The sequence below is a fragment of the Homo sapiens genome, chromosome 8, assembly GCF_000001405.40.
Source record: "Homo sapiens chromosome 8, GRCh38.p14 Primary Assembly".
Classification (NCBI taxonomy): domain Eukaryota; kingdom Metazoa; phylum Chordata; class Mammalia; order Primates; family Hominidae; genus Homo; species Homo sapiens.
The window spans coordinates 73441611-73459834 of record NC_000008.11 but is presented as its reverse complement, the minus strand read 5'-3'; the positions used below and the strand labels follow the sequence as shown (position 1 = coordinate 73459834).

At 43.1% G+C, this 18224-nt stretch overlaps 1 protein-coding gene across 4 annotated transcripts in view; it reads left to right on the top strand.

Annotated features, from left to right (window-relative positions):
* Positions 1-18224, top strand: part of STAU2 (staufen double-stranded RNA binding protein 2) — a 327112-nt gene that overhangs the window by 287646 nt on the left and 21242 nt on the right. The window lies entirely within an intron of this gene.

The following is an 18224-nucleotide window of genomic DNA, read 5'->3' as shown; positions in this document are numbered from 1 at the left end:
AAGGACAAGTATTCCTGAAATATGTTTTGAAAATTCCTATTGAATGCATATATTCAGCAGCATACCAGGGCCCTTAGTAACAGCCCGTTGGGTGTTGTGACAACAGCGTGGGTGTGATGACAGCAGCATGTGTGGGATGTGACGATATGTGGAGGCGGAGCTGCGTGAGCTTGAGGTTGGGTTTTGATTTCAGTGGGAGCTCTGCACATGGTAGGGCTGCTGGTTGAGGTCTTCGCGGAGGGGATCACCTTAACGAGAGGCGACTTCACACAGGAGGCCCCCCTTCCTGACAGGGTGAAGGGTAAAAATGCAGCTCCAGAAACCAGAGTGCTTCCAACTATTTAAAGTTCCCCTTTTAAAAAGTTTGGACATTCAAGATGGCTCTCAGAATGTATTTAGGGGTTTCTGATTTCTATATGGAAAATGTATTCTCAAAGGCTATTTCTATAGACTGGAAAAATATGGCTTTTTTGGTGCAAATCTAATAATAAAGCCTATCTGAAATAGTTCATATTATCTGTATTCACTAGGAATTTATTCTTCATGTTAGAAGAGGAGCTTGGTTTCTTGGCTTCTCTTCTGTGACTATACACTCTCAAAGTAGGAGCACCCTTTAAATGTTATTATTCTTTTTCAAATTATGTCTCTGCATTTACCTTAGTAATATAAAAACCTTGGCAAGTTAACACCAAAACAGCAGCCGTTAGTTGTTAAAGAAAAATGAATATAGGAAAGTTCTTTTTGAAAAAAATCCTTAAGATGAAAATGTGATTACTTTCATGAAAGTAGGCTTCCATTCGATAAAATAATTTTGTCAAATCATTTAGTCATTGTAGGGAGTTGGAATGATTTAAATGTTTTATAATGCACTGTTGTTTTCCACGAAACTCTAGTGTGGCCCTGTTCCCTGGCCACAGGAATGTAAGAACTTCTTGGCAAATACCCTGACTAGGATCGGATGGGGCAATGTATAATTAATGTCAAGTGTTACTGCCCTTCTCCAGTGCCACCCACCCACTGACCAGCATCAACTTCTTCCTGTTCTTTCTGTATTCAGAGCTTGGTTTATACCACTTTGGTTCCAAATATATCTGGATAAAATGCTGATTTCCTCTTTTGAGAATATACCTGACAAGGATCAGATTCATGTAACAAGAGGTAACTTTCTCATATCTTTGAATGGGTTCAGAATAAACCAACATTTTTTGCAGTTAGAGAAAATATTCAAGTTAGTGAATTTTTTTTTAAAAGAAGCTTCTACACTGTAGCTACTTTTGGGTGATTTTTGTTGTTGTTCTCAGTTTTTTAGCTTTCTCCTTGAGCCTTGCTTCACAAGTATTGGGAGAGAATGTCTGGCAACTGTTACTGAAACTGCAGGCTTTTTTCTCTTTCTTTCTTGTTTCTGTAAACTTACTAGACAGGATTAAGCCCAAAGAACTGATAAAGTAAAAAGGTGTTTGTACATTAAATGAAAGAAGGAATAAGAGTACGATTCCTGGATTTCTTAGAATAATACTGAACAGGGATCAAAGTGGAAACCATGAGATTCAAATCCATTATCATGAAGCTGAATTGTCTAATGAGGAAAATCATAATGGTGAAAACCAAAATTCCAAGTCAATCCTAGGACCAATTTTATTTTATGGAAGTAAAGCTGAGAATTTTAATGAAGTAGTTCTTCCTGTGAGGTTCCTGGGAAGGAAATTTTAAAAGTCAAATTTAGGAATGAAATTTAAGGGTAGATTTTAATGGGAGTGATATTCAGCAGGTTGGTGTTAGTGTGCCTTAGTATGTCCATATAGGTTGTTAAAATATTGAAATACTTCCATGTTGCCAATTATCTGCTATTGGTAAGTAGCTATGGCCTTAAGTCCTCAGTGCCCTCCTCCAACCCCGTGCCTAGGTCCCTCTCCTGAGACCCCATTCACCTCCACAAGACCCAGCTACTCAAGGGATCACACCCAGTGCAACAAGGGAGTATCTCAGGCTCTGCCCCAGCCCAGGGTGGCAATTAGTTCTGCTCAGTTGGTGCCCATGCACTCCCTACCTGTTAAGTACTTTGCATATCATGCCTATCCTGATGGAAATTATGTGAATAAAAACAGCTAAAATAGGGATACTTCAATGGAGAGGAGAGTCAGGCAAATACAAATATTACACCAAAGAAAAAGCCAAGAATGGTATTTAAACCCAGACTTAAATAAATTCTGAGCAAAGCCTTGGCGTCATAGGGACGTGGGAGATGTTCTTTTCCTCCCCCATCTTTTTATTTTGGCGGCATATCTTTTTTGTACCAAATCTCTTAGGCTGGAAAGTATAAAATGAAATTCCCTTGTGACAGCATCACCAATGGAAATATGAGAGGGTGCCTAAGCCTAAGCGGTTCATTCGAGATGAAGATTCAACTATGCATGTAAGAGTGTAAGAGTGTGGAGGCCACACAGCCCCTGGGGGCAGCCTTGTTGGCCCTTATCCTAATGGGGTCCTTGGGAGGGCTGCAGCCTCCAAGGGCCTGGGCTTGGACACCAACCTGCAGTGTATTGGATTGTTGATTGTCATGTAGATAGTAACATCTGAAGGGAGGTGGTTTTTGGTTGTTGAAATTTCTTTCTGTGTGTTTCTAAGCTGGGGTAGATCTCTTTAGTATTCTCGCCATTTTCCATTTGAAAACAGATATCTGACTGCACAGTCATCGTTTCTATCCCTTTCAGTGCCCTTGATGAGCTAGAAAAGGCCAGAGAGGATTATGAAAAAAATCTAATTTATGGATATAATATGTCCTGAGGAAAACTCAACTTCAAAGAATTCCCAATGCAAGTTAAAGATGTCAGGGCTAAAAGAATGTTTGAGTAGCAATATATTTATTGTATTAGAGAATCAAAGATTTGGGAACATTAAGAGACCTTGGTTTCATTTGGTAAATGTTGTTACTCGGTACACTGCGTGTGATTCCCTACTCAATAAAATGTTCTGTACAACTCCTGGAATTTGAATCTAGCAGCCCCTGTACTGTTTCCTTGTTTAAATAGATGCCCAAATGTGTTTGCATATACATTTTTCTATACTTGAAACATATGTCATCATAGAGAAAATATCAGTGGCTGTAAACATAGAGAATGTTATCAGCTCCAGTAACCCACATAGGAACGGTAGGAAGAGAATAATTATCTGGTAAGACGGAATGCAATAGAAACTCCCCAAGACCTCCGAATATGGGCCCCATGCTCGTTCCTGCCTCCACACCAGGACTGTTCTGCCCCCTCCCTTCCTGCCATGAGGAGCACCTGCTCCCTCCCCCTCCCACTTAGCAAACTCTTCCTCTTTCATGTCCACATTTCCAATTTCTTTACATCCTCAGCAAAGCAGGGACTATATTGTACACTTAGGAGGTGTTCAAAAGATACCTGACTGAATGAATGATTGATAACTCTGGGCAGATTTCAGTTATTCTTTCTCCATGTAATGGAAGATGAGAGGTTCCAGTTCTTACACTGGATTAATTTAGGTTCACCTGTTTTAAAGAGGCCCTATTTAAAGTCTTCTATATCACCAACTGGGACCTGTTTTAAATAGACCACACTGTATATTTTCGATTGCCCTTTTGTGCCTAATCTCCTGCGGCACATTTATTTATTCCGTTTGACTTTCGGTTTTTAACTGAACAATGCTCCATGACAACAAGATAGAAACACGTGCTGTTCACAGATCTGAAGATTTTAAGGGTATTTGTCTCACTGCTGAGCCTGAGTCTGCCCACTGGAGAGCATGTCCCATCGTCATTCATTTGTACCAGTACATGGATCCTTTCTGACATGGGTCTAGACATTTAATCCATCTTCTTAAACTCTAAAAACAGCCAGTGAACTTTGATTTGGATGACACACTCAGACATTAAACCTCAGCTTCTCATCCATCCGTCCGTCCATCCATCTCATATGTACTGAACATCCACTATGTTTTAGGTTATGTGTTGGGGCTAGAGAGATATGTACATCACCCCCCTTGACCACGGCCAGGTGGTGTACAGAGACACGTTGTAGTCTCACATATTATCAGTGTGATAAAAAAATAAAAAAAACTATAACAGATATATGGGCAAAGCATTCTGGAAGTGCAAAGGACAGACACGAAATTTGGAGAGCACTTTAGGGGAGGAAATGACGGTGGTTTTTCAGAGGAAGATAAGAGGTTAGGGCCTTTTAAGGATAGGGAATAACCTCAGCAGAGGCACAGAGCACCCCTGGGCCTGTCTCTGGAGGTTGTGAACATACCTCGCACTCCTGGTTTGGGCTGCTCTGGACTGCCCTGAGCTGAGGCTGCCCCAGAGCCCAATGGGGACAAGTCCCACATTCTCTCTAGGTCAAGGGAGGTCTGGTGTCAGTGTCTGCTGCAGCAACAGTGAGCCTCCTAAACATGATGGCCTTTGACTCCCAACCTGTACTCCTGGCTCCCAAAACCTTCGCCCTGACCGCACAGCCCCTGAGAGAGTAGTAGTTTGACCAGAGACCAAGTTGCTAAATTCCCCAAATCAATCTCACAACCTCTCCTTCCTGAGCCTTTGCAAGTGTAAACTTCCTTACCATCAGATAGCTGTGAGTCTCTAGATAGATAGCTGTGAGTCTCAGAGCCAGCCCAAGCAGAGCGGGCAGGAGGCTTTGTGACCTGCACCTTTGTATGAGGAGATGGGATCCAGATGGCCCTTCTGCCTGCACCAAGGCATGTTTTTGGTAGGGTTGCACATGGTAGAATTCTAGGGTCATGCCGCAAACACTGAGTAGGATGAACTGGCTAAATGTTTCCATCTCCAGTTGAAGCTGAATCCTATCTCTAAGCATGAGCTGGCTTGGACTCCAAGGTCCTGCCTAAACTACCTCTCTCCTAGTGGTGGGAGGACCACTCGACCTCTCCACAGCCACAGCTTCCCAGATCTGCATAGGCTGCAGCTCTCACTGGGCACCATTGTCTTGTGGGGAGGCACAGTCCTACTGTGGCTTTACTATAAAGTCATTTAAATCCATGATCTGTGTGTGTTAATATACATCTACAGACCATGCATATTAATCACGGCTTGAAAGAATGCCATCGTTAGTCTTTTCCTTGCCTAATACTCTTATTCTTCTCTCTTTAAAAATAAGAAAATGTAAAATGCCATTCAAATGGAAGATGTCATCATGGTCTGTGATTGCTATTTCTGTGTTGAAGAAGAGAGTGGATGGATAAATGATTGGCATGTCCTGTTGGGACAGAGTGACCTAGGACCCCATTCTATTGAGTCCTAATCTTCACTACCCTTGTCTGTTGCCACCTCTGATTCAGGGATTGAGAAAACATCCCTCCATACAGATACACAGATCACAAAAGGAAGTCTTTCAAATTCGGTTTTATGATCATATTATCAAGAAGCAAAAGTAACTATGTGAGTTGAAGGTAGGCCCACTTAACATTGTAAAAATTAGGTTACAGCTGCAAATGAAATCAGCAATAAGATAATCCAAGAAGAAATGTAATTCTTCAGGGTTCCACAAATTTTAAATTTGTCCGGTTGGTGTCATATCACAGCTACTGTGTAATATTTTGGCATGTGTAGCAAAACACAACTTTATGAATGTGTGGCATTTTAAAAACTAACAGCCTAAAGTGCAGAATTTGTGACTGCTAGATTGGGGAACGGAATTCCTTTTTTACAGCTTGCTCTATTGAGAAATAATTTTATTAACCTTTATATTCATTAAGGATAACTAATTTTTAAATAGTCTAATATTCTGAATTTTTTTTTGTAAAAAATATATTTAGAATTAGGTGATCTTGAGTAAAAGGAACACAACATTTAGTAAAAGTGTACATTTGTTTTCTGGCTACACAGACATGCATCCAAGTGGCAGCTTGAAGCTCAGCCCTCTGGAGTGGAGTGGCTGCTGGAGCAAGTCGTCACTTCAGAAAACTGTCATCCTCACAGAGAGAGGGCTACACTGACCCACACCCGGGAATTTGCTTTCTTAAAACAAAACAGATACATGCCTGATCAGTAGCTTTGTATCTTTTTTTTTTAAAAAAAAGATGTTATTTGTACTACCAGAGTTTAATTTCTTGTTGGTATAAAAATTAAAACAAAAATCTACTTATCCTAAGAAATTAATTGCCTCTTAAAAATTTTTTTTCTCCTTCTGTGCTCTAAAAAGAGGTATCTATTTTCAAACTGGTTTAGCTACTCAGGCCTCAAAGCACCTAAGCACTCGTGCCAATTTTCACCAGTTTGGTTTGGGTAGGTAACAAGGTGCCCCTTGATTTTTCCCAGACAGCTCTTAGAATCTAGAGTGTGTTTGCTGAATCTATTTGCACATTCAGTGTCCATGTAGAGTGTAAATGATAGGATTACTGAGCAAAGAAATGGGAAGATATGCTTACATAGTCATTGTTTGTAACATCAAATGATAGCTTTTACATTCTTACTCAAATTCACGTGTTTGGGATTAATAATTGCCAGTTCATGAATATACAGCATGATATTTTATATGCTACTACAAGTGAATTTTGCTTCTACAGAAATGCATTTTCCCTTTTACAATAATTGCCAACCTCTTTTTTAAAAATCACAGGTGTTTCTTTTGTTTGTTTCTTTGTTTCATTTTACTTTTCTGCTTTGTAATCACATTTTAGAGGTGAGATCTAGAGATTATATTTTTTGTTAAGAAACCTGCAGCTGCAAGTCTTATCTTTGAGAATTGTTCCTGTTCTTTTTCAATGTCTCCTTGAAGACACCGAGTCAGAGTCATTTACTAGCCACAAATACAAAATGCATTAGGTTTTAACAGCAGATCTAAATTAAAAACTCAGTAACGTGGAACAAATGGACCCCTAGTTCATTTCCAAACTAAAATCCTAGTTACATTTTATTGTTTCTAAACCTTTCTTACTGCAAACCATCAATCCACCGACTTTCTTCTGGCTCGTTGGAGCTTTGAACTGTACCTTTACGGTGCTATAAATTAGCATGTCACTGAGATACACTGTAATTTGCATTAATTTCTTTAGAGTCGAGGTTGTCTGTCTTTGAAGACATCTTTACAATACTTAGAATTCACTCAGAAAAGCAATGCCCAACTAAAAGATGTAAAACATAAATTTAAAAAATACGTTTTGGCTTTTATCTCAGGATGGAAACAAAAGTGGTCAAAGTTATGTGTGCAGTTCTGTGATCCAGAACTCACATTCTACTACTTCAGTGTTATTGCTTAAGGCACAGACGTTTAGTGACAGGAAGGAGAGGGAAGAGCACAGCCCTGCTCTCACCCACCTGAAGACAAGGAGCCATTTTAAAGATATTGTTACAGGGGGAAATGGCCAGGGTCATAAAATTGTCAATGAAATGCACCATCATCAGGCCTTCCGTGGGATGCATGGCAGGAAAAGCAAAAGGTCTCAGCCAAGGAGGACAGGGCTTCTCCAGCACTGGGTGGGCTGGGCCCAGGCGAGGTTTGCAAGAGTGGCCCTGACCAGGTGCTGCAAATGGGCCCTTTGAGCCTCCTCAGAGCAAGTGTGCAGCGAAGCCCCTCTGTCCTCTGTCACAGAGCCGGGTGTCATGATAGGGAGAGAGAGAGAGAAGAGTTAGAGAAGAGGCAGTGGATAATTGGAGGGAGCCTCTTGAGAGAAAAAAGAAAACCCTCAGTTCCTCCCCTGGGAACCTGAAATACTAGAAAGCGAGCCCCTGGATGCATCAGGAGCTGTCTGTCTAGGGCGGCACCTGTCTGAGAGACCGTGTCTGCCCTGGTCCTGGCTCAGCCCTGCACCCAGCTCCTTGCTCTGCCTTGCTCCAGGCTGTATCCTGCAGAAGCTGATCCTTCTGTGGAATTTGTTTTCCAACCTTCAAAAACAAAATTACTTGGGAAGGTAAAAGAAAACCAAAGCCTTCAGTCCTTGGGCAGCATGCCGCCAAGCTCCTTTAACTCCAGCTCTGGGTTTTTGTGTCCCTTTGAAATAGACACGGTTTGGGTTGAACCTGCACTTCCTAGCATCTGGAGAAGAGAAGGAAGAATATACTATTTTTAAAAGGAACATTCTGGAAAGTGTACAAAACCTAATCATTAAAAAAATAAAAGCCAAGTCCTCAGCTGCACAAACAGCCCTTGTTCTCCTCCAGCAAGGTCTGTCAGGAGTGCCCACCTTCCTCACCCTGAGAAGAGCAATTAAGGAGACCAGGAAGCATCGCTGAGTTGGTCTGCTCTCTCCAAAGCCTTTTCAATCACCTCCTTTGATCTAGTTGCGGGGGGTGGGTAGCCCAGCCTGCTTCATGCCTCAGCCGTATTTGTAGGCACTGTGTTAGAGGAACGCTTTCTCTCTCTTAACATATTTTTTTGAATCCGAGTGTACACATCTGTCTTTATACCCAGCCGCTTTTCTGGCCCCAAACAAGTTCTCTGTGAGTTTCCCCAACTGAGCTCAGTGGGATCTCTGTCAGCTGCAAGATTTATGTCATCTTGTCCAGTCCTGAGAACTGTTCCTTCAGCTTTTCACATCTGGATGTAATTGGAAAGACATTAAGTGCACTGGAAAAGCATATTTTAGGGCAGTTCTTTATAGACACCCCTATTAAAGAAGCTGACGGCTGTAGGTTCAAGTGGGATGAGCCAAGACAACATTTCAAAAAGTAGAAAGCACAAAATTATGAAAGAGCTGCTGGAAATGAGAAGGCCCTGTTCAAGGATTACGTTTATAGGGTTGCTTTGGGAGAGAAATGTGGCATGATGCCTGCCAGCTACAGGCTTTGCCGGCAGCGTGTGGATCAGCACACGGATAACTGGGTTCTTCAGTGTTTGTGAGGATGGATTCCTCCTGGGCCTGGTCTCCACATCCTCATGTGCTGGCATTAGGGTGTGTATACACAAACATCCTAAAAGAGCAGGAGGGTGGCTGGTAACTACAAATGCCGTCACCTTCTTGCCTCACTGTCTCCTTTAGGGCAACCACACCCTGAGATGTCTTGATACATAACAATAGAAGCATCTAATCAGCTTGGAGCAAAAACAGCACACACACTTGTGTGACTTTGGCAAAATCCCTCACTCCCCAGCCTTCTCCTGGTTTTGCACACATTGTTAGGTTTCAAATAAACACACCCAAGATTGAAGGCAGAGGGTACTTGAGATGATCAGCATTATACAGGTTTTCAAACTTGTGACTTGTGTTCAGAAGGATGATGAAAATCAAAGAACATTTGTCATCAGAAGAATACCAATACTTTGCTTTTCTTTACCTGTATTATATTTTGAAGCCCTGAACTTTCCAGTTGCTCCAGAGCAGTTGAACTTTTCTGAAGTCCTAGCCCCCAAACGTCTTATTACTAGAGGGTAAAATGAGTCTTTAGTTTCCTCTCCTTGGACTCCACCTCATCTCATCCGTGGCTTTGGTTAAACAGGGATTCTTAACCTTTTTTGAGCCATGGACTCTTTGGCAATCGGGTGAAACTTATGCACCTCTTCACAGAAGAATAGTTTTAAACTACATAAGATAAAAATGTGTGCAATTTTCCTAAGTTATGTCGACATACAACTATCACAATATTTTGAAAGTAAGTTTTTGCTCTAGTCATAAATGTGTTTAAAACATTGGCTAAAAAGATCTCCAGTTGGTTTAATAACTTCTAATATACTTCCAATATTTCTAATATTGTGCCTAAAGAAGTAAGTTTCTGTTACTTATTAATACATATTTTAAAATGTCTAAATTCATAAAGCCCCCAAATCCATGCATCCAAATTTACCCATCCTCTGTTGGTTTGAAGGCCATTTGGTTGTCCACTGATCCCTTGCCTCTGCCAGCCCGGCATATCCTGCTGCCTTTGTCCAGGACTGCCTCTTGGAAGGTATCTGGCCCTCCCTGTAGCCCTGGTGGGGAAGTGCTGCTCCCTTCTGAGTCTGCAGAAGGTGCCCAACGGGCTGGGTCCAGATAGTGACCCTGCAGAGCTCCTCCTGCCAGAGGCAGGAGTAGTGAGGGGGCTGCCAGGAGAGGTGTCTCCCCGCCTCACCCCCACCCTAAGCCCTCCTGGGCCTCAGGAGTCCAGAGAGCCAAGCAGCAAAAGTGGTTGTAACAAGAAAGGGGTGGGCTGGTGTAGGAGCTTAGTCAAGAGGGAGCTTAATCTGTCCTGCAGGCCTCTTGCCGGTGGTCCCACTGCCCACCCAGCCCCAGGGCAGACAGGCCTTCCAAAAACAAATCTGAGCTCGCTGCTGCCCTGGTTCCAGTTGGTGCCTGGGAGAATCTGTGCCCCTGGAAATGACACAAAAGCCTTGTTACGGACTGGATTGTGCCCCCACCTCTGTAATTCATCCGTTGAAGCCCTAACCCCCAGTACCTCAGAATGTGGCTGTATTTGCAGATAAAATCTTTGAAAGAGGTAAAGTGGCGATAAGATCATAAGAGTTGGCCCCAATCCAATCTGCCTGGTGTCCTCAGAAGAGGGGATCAGGACACAGAGCAGCCAGGTGTGCTGCCCAGAAGGAAGGCCCTGGGAGGACGCAGCCAGAAGGCCGCCACCTGCAGGCCAAGGAGGGACCCATCCTGATGCCTGCTCTTGGACTTCCGGCCTCCAGAGCCCAGGGAGAACTGGCTGCTGTTGATTCAGTGGCGGTCTGTGGGATGGTGCTGCGACGGCCCCAGCAGATGCTTGCGGCCTAACTCGCCCGGCCCCTGCCCGCCGCCCTCCCACTGCGGGGACACGGAGCTGCGCGGTCCCTGCTCGAAGGCCGCTGTTGGCTGGCCCAGGCCTCTCACCCAGCTCGGCCCTCTCCCGGCACCTTGCTCCTGCGCCGGGGGCCGACTCCAGCTCATCCTTGAGGAAAACCCGGGCTGCCCCTCGTCCAGGAAGTCTTCCCAGCCCCAGCCGGGCTGCAGGCCCCTCCTCAGAGTACCCGCTGTCCGCGCGCACGTGGCGGTGGGAATATTCCCGCGCTGAGCACTGGCCCCTAGCGCCCACGGCAGGGACCGGCTGTCCACTTGCGTTCCCACAGTGCAGGCACGCGACGTCCCGAAAGGGCTGGGTGAACACATACCCTGAACCATCGCTCCAGCTGGATTGTCGTTGCTCTGTCCACCAACTCTGATTTGGGAAACAGATAACCAGGGTTCAAGGCCAGGTGGGTCATCTTCCAGCCCCGTGACGTGGATGAGTCCCATGACCTCACTGAGACCCCAGTTTCTGAGCAACTGTGAGCTCAGGAACACATCAGTGTCGCTCAGTCCTTTTAAGACTTGTGTCTCCTAGCCGGGCGTGGTGGCTAATGCCTGTAATCCTAGCACTTTGGGAGGCCGAGGCGGGCTGATTGCCTGAACTCAGGAGTTCTAGAACAGCCTGGACAACAGGGTGAAACCCCGTCTCTACTAAAATACAAAAAATTAGCCGGGCGTGGCGGCGTGCGCCTGTAGTCCCAGCTACTCGGGAGGCTGAGGCAGATAATTGCTTGCACCTGGGAGGCAGCAGTTGCAGTGAGCCAAGATCGCACCACTGCACTTTAGCCTGGGACAGAGCGAGACTCCAAAAAAAAAAGACTTGTATCTCCTTTTAGCAAACGTTAAAATCTTATATCCTTCCTTCCCAAAATGGTCCCTGACCCATGAATTCCTGTAAGCCAATATGATTATGCCAACATTTGCCTTCTCTAGTTTAACACTCATGGGTACCTGCAGCTGGGAGGGAGAGGATCAGTTTATGGCAGGCCCATTTTAGGATTTTGCCTAGGGTCCTCCTTGGGAGGGTCCAGTCACTTTGCACCCGGGTTAGTCCAGTGTAAAGTCAAACTAGAATTGTTTTGGGAATGGGTCGGTGGTGGAAACGAGGAAGTGAAGTTGGAAGATGTTGGCTAAAAATCCCATCGATGGATGCCGTAGCCAGTGTGTGCACTCATGGGAATGTCCCGGTGTGTCTTGAGAGGAAAGACTAGCCCTGCTGTCGCTTTCCAGAGGGTGGTAAGATAGATCCTCTCATGTTAGATAATCTCACTTCATTTCCTGATAAAGATGAAGTGTCCCCTAGCCACCCAGAGGGGGGAGGAAAAGGAAAACGACTGCTAACTTTCCATAAGCCTGGTGTCCCCACCAGTACAGGTGGGAGGCGCCCTGGTTCTTCCAGGGGTTCCACCTCGTGGTCAGCGAGGTTCCTTCGGGTCCCTTCCCTTCCAGGCCCTTGGGGATGCAGCTGCCCTCCTGTTCTCTTTAAAGCTGCTTTTACCCACAACTTGTTACAAATTTTTAAGAAAGCAATTTGACATTATCTATCAAAATCATATATTTGTCTTATAGATGTAGTATTTGCACAAAATGTTTGTAGAGGAATATCCATTGCAGCATTTTTGGTAAGAACTGGACACAATCTAAATATTTATTATTATGGGACTGATTAAATCAATTATGGCACAGCCATATGATGCAATGCCATGCAGCTATTAAAAAGAATGAGATCGAGCTGTTTATGGTGTCTTGAAAAGATGTCCAAGATGTATTATTATTATGTGGGAAAAAAAAGTTGCAGAAGAGTTAGCATAGTGATTCCATTTGAGGAAAAAACCAAAAGTCCATATATGTGTATATAAGAATATAATAATTGGCTGGTTGCGGTGGCTCATGCCTGTAATCCCAGCACTTTGGGAGGCCGAGGCGGGCAGATCACGAGGTCAGGAGTTCGAGACCAGCCTGGCCAATACGGTGAAACCCTGTCTCTACTGAAAATACAAAAATTAGCCGGACGTGGCAGCACATGCCTCTGTGTAGTCCCAGCTACTTGGGAGGCTGAGGCAGAAGAATTGCTTGAACCCGGGACGCGGAGGTTGCAGTGAGCCGAGATCTTGCCACTGCACTCCAGCCTGGGTGACAGAGCAAGACTGTGTCTCAAAAACACAAACAAACAGAAAAGAATATAACAAATAAGATGCACACCACACTTGACTGTTCATAGTAGTTATTCTGTGACATGAGATTGGAGTTGATTGAAGGGTGAGACAGTATGGGGGACTTTCCTTTAACATTTAAATAGTCTTAAACACTTTACAATGAGAGTTATTAATTTTAAAATTAAAAATAGGCACAATGGCTCACGTCTGTAATCTCAGCACTTTGGGAGGCCAAGACAGGAGGATCACTTGAGGCAAGGAGTTCGAGACTAGCCTGGGCAACACAGTGAGACCCAGTCTTTAAAAAAAATTAAATTAAATTAAATTAAAAATGTAAAATACTGTTTTTCCAAAAGCACAGTTTTAATTTTGTTCTTGTTTTACCTTGCATTTAGATATAATTAAACATTCACAGAATGTAGTAGAAATAGTACAGAGAGGTCCCACGTACTCTGCACACAGTCTCTTCCAGTGGTTACATCTCACTGACCTGTAGGACAGTACCAAAACCTGGAGATCCATATTAGTAGAACACACCTTATGTTGCAGCTCTGTTCCATTTTATCACGTGTGTAAGATTTGTGCAACCACTCAGCGATCGAGATACAAAGCTATTCTGTCACCATGAGGCTCTCCCTCGTGCTGTCTATTCTCCCCTCACACCTACTTCCCCACCATCCCCAGCCCTGGCAACCATGAATCTGTTCTCCATCTCTATGCTTTTATCATTATAAAAATGTTACATAAATGGAATCATAATAACATGACTCTTTGAGATGGACTTTTGTTCACTCAGCTTCATGTCCCTGAGGTCCATCCAAGTTATATCAATAGTTTGTTCCTTTTGATGGCTGAGTAGTATTCCATGGTATGGATGCACCACAATTTGTAACCCACCACATGCTTAGGGATATTTTGGTTGTTTCTAGTTTTGTGTACAGGTTTTTTTATGGATATAAATTTTCATTTCTTTGGGATAAATGCCCAGGAGTATGATAGCTAGGTTGTATGGTAAGTGAATGTTTAGTTTTTTATGAAACTGCCACGCTATTTTTCCAGAGTGGCTGAGCCAGTTTACATTCCCATCAGAAGTGGCTGAGGATCTAGTTCCCCCGAATCTTCTCTAGCGTATGGTGGTGTCACTACTTTTTATGTCAGCTGTTTTAACAGGTGTATAATATGGTCTTAGTAGCCAGTGATATTGAGCATCTTTTCATGTTTGCCATCCGTAAATCCTCTTTGGTGAAATGTCTCTTCATGTCCTTTGCCCATTCTCTAATTGGATTGTTTGTTTCCACTGTTGAGTTTTGAGAGTTCTTCATGCATTCCAGATACTGGCCCTCTGTCAGATATGTGGTCTGCGAATATTTCCTCCCTGTTGTAGCTTGTCATTTTCCTTCTCTTATAGAGTCTTTCACAGAGCATAAGTTGTAATTTGATGAGGTCCAATGTATCCATTTTTCCTTGATGGTAATTGTGTTTTAAAAAATAAAGCTTAAAATTTTGTTTTTTGTTTTGTAATTTTGCACTTTTTTTGTTTTGTAATTTTGTTTTGGGGGCTTTGTTTTGTGTTTTGTGATTTTGTTTTTGTTTTTGTTTTGCTTTGTACTTTCGTATAAAAAAATGAATAAGGGACTGCTGCCGCCATCTCTTCCTTAGGATTCATCCTCTCCTAGCCTGACTGCAAAGTGGAGTGCAACCCTGCAGAAACCCCTTCCTCTCTGGTCCCTGAATATTCATGTGGGGGCTGTTCCTGTTTTAAGTGAAATAAAATGGAGACAGAATAAGATTCTGGATTTGTCTAAAGTTCTATAGTCCTGCTCACTCACTTGTAAATTCTGACTTCTTTCTTGGCTGATAAGGACGTCTGGTTCGAGTTTGGCTCTCTTTTTATTCATGAGGTTGGGTTTCACTAGAAACCCTCCGCCCTATTCTTTGTCTTCCAGGAACACAGCCTCCCCATCTAGGCGCTCCTTCTAGAGGTGAAGAGTGCGAGGATGCCTTCCTCTGAAGGCTTCTCCTAGCTTGAAGACACAATGAGAGTTAACAAAGTATGTGCCCCTTGCCTACTGTTAGCATGTGGTCCCTGTGTCCTCTGGAAGTGTCTTCACAGGGAAGCCATCTTGAGGAGGGGAGAAAAATGCAAGTATTTCTTGGCAATATTAAAACACAGAACACCAGTCTTAACATCACCAGGTCACTGTGCTGGGCTTTGTGAGCCAGACAGCCACATCCACTGACTACAAATGGAGCATCAACTCCATGCCAGTGTTAGTGTTAAAGATACTGAGATACATAAGACCTAACTCTATCCTGTTCTAGGAACTTACAATTTACCATGGGGGGATAGAACAGAGATTCCTCAGCAAGTGAGTACAATGTCATGGTACCATTTGCAGTAGAAACTAATTACTCACACCTGCTTCCTCAGAATTCTCAGCTCACAGCTACACTCCTCAGCCTCTCATGGAGTTAGGTGTGGTCATGTCACTGGGTTCTGGTCAATGGAATATGAGGGCTTTCGCTCTTCATTCTTTTTTTTTTTTTTTTTTGATGGAGTTTTGCTCTTGTTGTTGCTTAGGCTGGAGTGCAATGATGCGATCTCGGCTCACTGCAACCTCCACCTCCTGGATTCAAGCGATTCTCCTGCCTCCACCTCCAGAGTATCTGGGATTACAGGTGTGCACCACCATGCCTGGCTAATTTTGTATTTTTAATAGAGACGGGGTTTCTCCATGTTGGTCAGGCTGGTCTCGAACTCCCGACCTCAAGTGATCTGCCCGCCTCGGCCTTCCAAAGTGCTGGAATTACAGACGTGAGCCGCAGCACCCAGCTGTCACTCTTCATTCATAATATCCTCCTATGCACTACCTTCCATTTTATTTTCTCTTCCACTGGCTAAAAGGAGAGGACGATAATGCTAGCCTAGAGGAGAGCAGAGTCACAACATGGAAGGAGTCTGGGTCCCTGACTGACCAGGGTCTACTGCCCAGGAACACCTACTTGGGCTTTCCATAATCACTGAGGTTCTGGAGTGTTTGTTTAGCAGTTAGCTAACTTTAACTGGTATCCAGATCACAAATCACAAGTCACTACTTTTTTTTTTTTTTAAGAGACAGGGTGTCACTCTGTCACCTAGGCTGGAGTACAGTGGAGCAATCTCAGCTCACTGCAGCCTCAAACTCCTGGGCTCAAACAATCCTCCCACGTTAGCCTCCCAAGTAGCTAGGACTACAGGCATATGCCACCACACCCAGCTAATTTTTATTTTTTAAAGGCAGAGACTTACTATGTTGCCCAGCCTGGTCTCAAACTCCTGGCCTCAAGCAGTCCTCCTGTCTTGGCCTCCCAAAACATTGAGATTACAGTGTGATACGCTGCACCCAGCCACTACTTTCTTTGAAGTCTAAAAAGGCTTCATTGAGAAGGTGCCTGATTTCCCTTGGGGCTCATCCCACATTACATCTCAGACACTATGACTACTACTTACATTTACAAATTAGGATATTGCCTTGTTGCTTTCTATGCATGTATTCATTCATTCGTTTTCCTCCTTTGAAATGTCATTTTACCCTTATTTGGCTAATAATACTAGCTATACAAAGCACTAAGTTGCATGCTGCCAAATTCCAAATAGCTTATTGCTTTTAGAAACCGCTTCTCCCTCCGACTTCCAGCAAATTCTTCTAGCCTTTTGATAAATTAATTCATAACCTTTCCACATATTTATCCAAAGAGGCAGCTTTTTAATTCTGGCACAGTCACCCTTTTTTTTCCTCCTGGGCTTTGATACTACCAGATGCTAGAGGAAAAACATTCGCAATATGCCTACAATCTATTTCAATATATAATTCTATCCAATTGAATGTCAGGCATTTCTAAAGAATGCTGTTGGTTGATATAACATCCCTTGCCCAAGTTGAGGTTTTGATTTGAAGTTGCGTATTGGAATGCTTTGTGTTACATTTTGCCCCAAATTTATAAATCTATCATGGATTCTCCTTTCTATCTTGCTTCCTTAATCGATGAACCATCAAGAATGAAGTTTAGCGTGATATCTTGAGAAAGCAAAAGAAGAAAATCTTCTGCTTTTGAAAGGGAATGTACCCTCAGGCAAAAATTTTAAAAAATTCTCTGTCTCGTAATACATATTAGGAAATGCCAGTTGTCATGCACGCAACTTAAGATGGATTAGGATTCCATCACTGATCATGGAATAAATTCTTATACTTTTAACCTTACAAGTTCATTTGCAGCCAAGCAATTAGAAAAAACTGTGTTTGGCTATATTAGAATGTGTCAACCCTCTTAACAGTACTAGCAGTTTCTAGAAACAATTTAGCAGAATTTTTTCCAAAAGTATTTGGCAGGCCTAACTCATATCCCCATGAGTATACTAAATTTCTTCTCATTTAGGGGTGGAGGTAGGTAAGGGAGACCACTTGTGACCATATTATTCAAACACAGAGTAAATCTCTTCGTATGGTTAAATTGTCTTAATGAGGATATTTTGCAGAAATCAGGATACTAGCTTTTTCTTTGAAATGGTTATTTTAAGTATAGACTTTAAACATTACTTTTTAATTTTTTTTTTTTTTTTTTTTTTGAGACGGAGTCTCGCTCTGTCGCCCAGGCTGGAGCGCAGTGGTGCAATCTCGCCTCACTGCAAGCTCCACCTTCCAAGTTCACACCATTCTCCTGCCTCAGCCTCCCGAGTAGCTGAGACTACAGGCACCCGCCACCACACCCAGCTAATTTTTTGTATTTTTAGTAGAGAAGGGGTTTCACCATGTTCGCCAGGATGATCTCGATCTCCTGACCTCGTGATCCGCCCACCTCGGCCTCCCAAAGTGCTGGGATTACAGGTGTGAGCCACTGCGCCTGGCCTAAATGGGGTTTCTAAAAATTGCCAAACCAAGTTTGGTATTATTAGTGATGTGCTTTCCTTTCAGCTGTAACTAAAAGAAGATATCGTTTACTTCTTGAACTTTACAGTGACTTTGCATTTGTGTTAGTTTAAAAAAAATACTTTCTAGAAAAAAATATTAAAGTTTGTCCTAATAAAGTTTCTTCCAAAGTTGTGATAATATAATTGACATAAAACAAGTTTAAAATACATTAGAGACACATAATACTTAACTTACTTCATTTGAACGGCCAACATTCAGCAGCTACTTACTCCAGACGGATTAGTCTTTAAACATCAATCGTTAGTTCTGGGTTTCAATAAACGGGCGAAATAATCTGCTCCCTAATTGCCATAGAAAACTTCTGAGAATTAATGAAACTGTGTGTAAGAGGTGGCTATATATTCTTCCACATGGGTACTGTTTCTAACCACTCATTCAT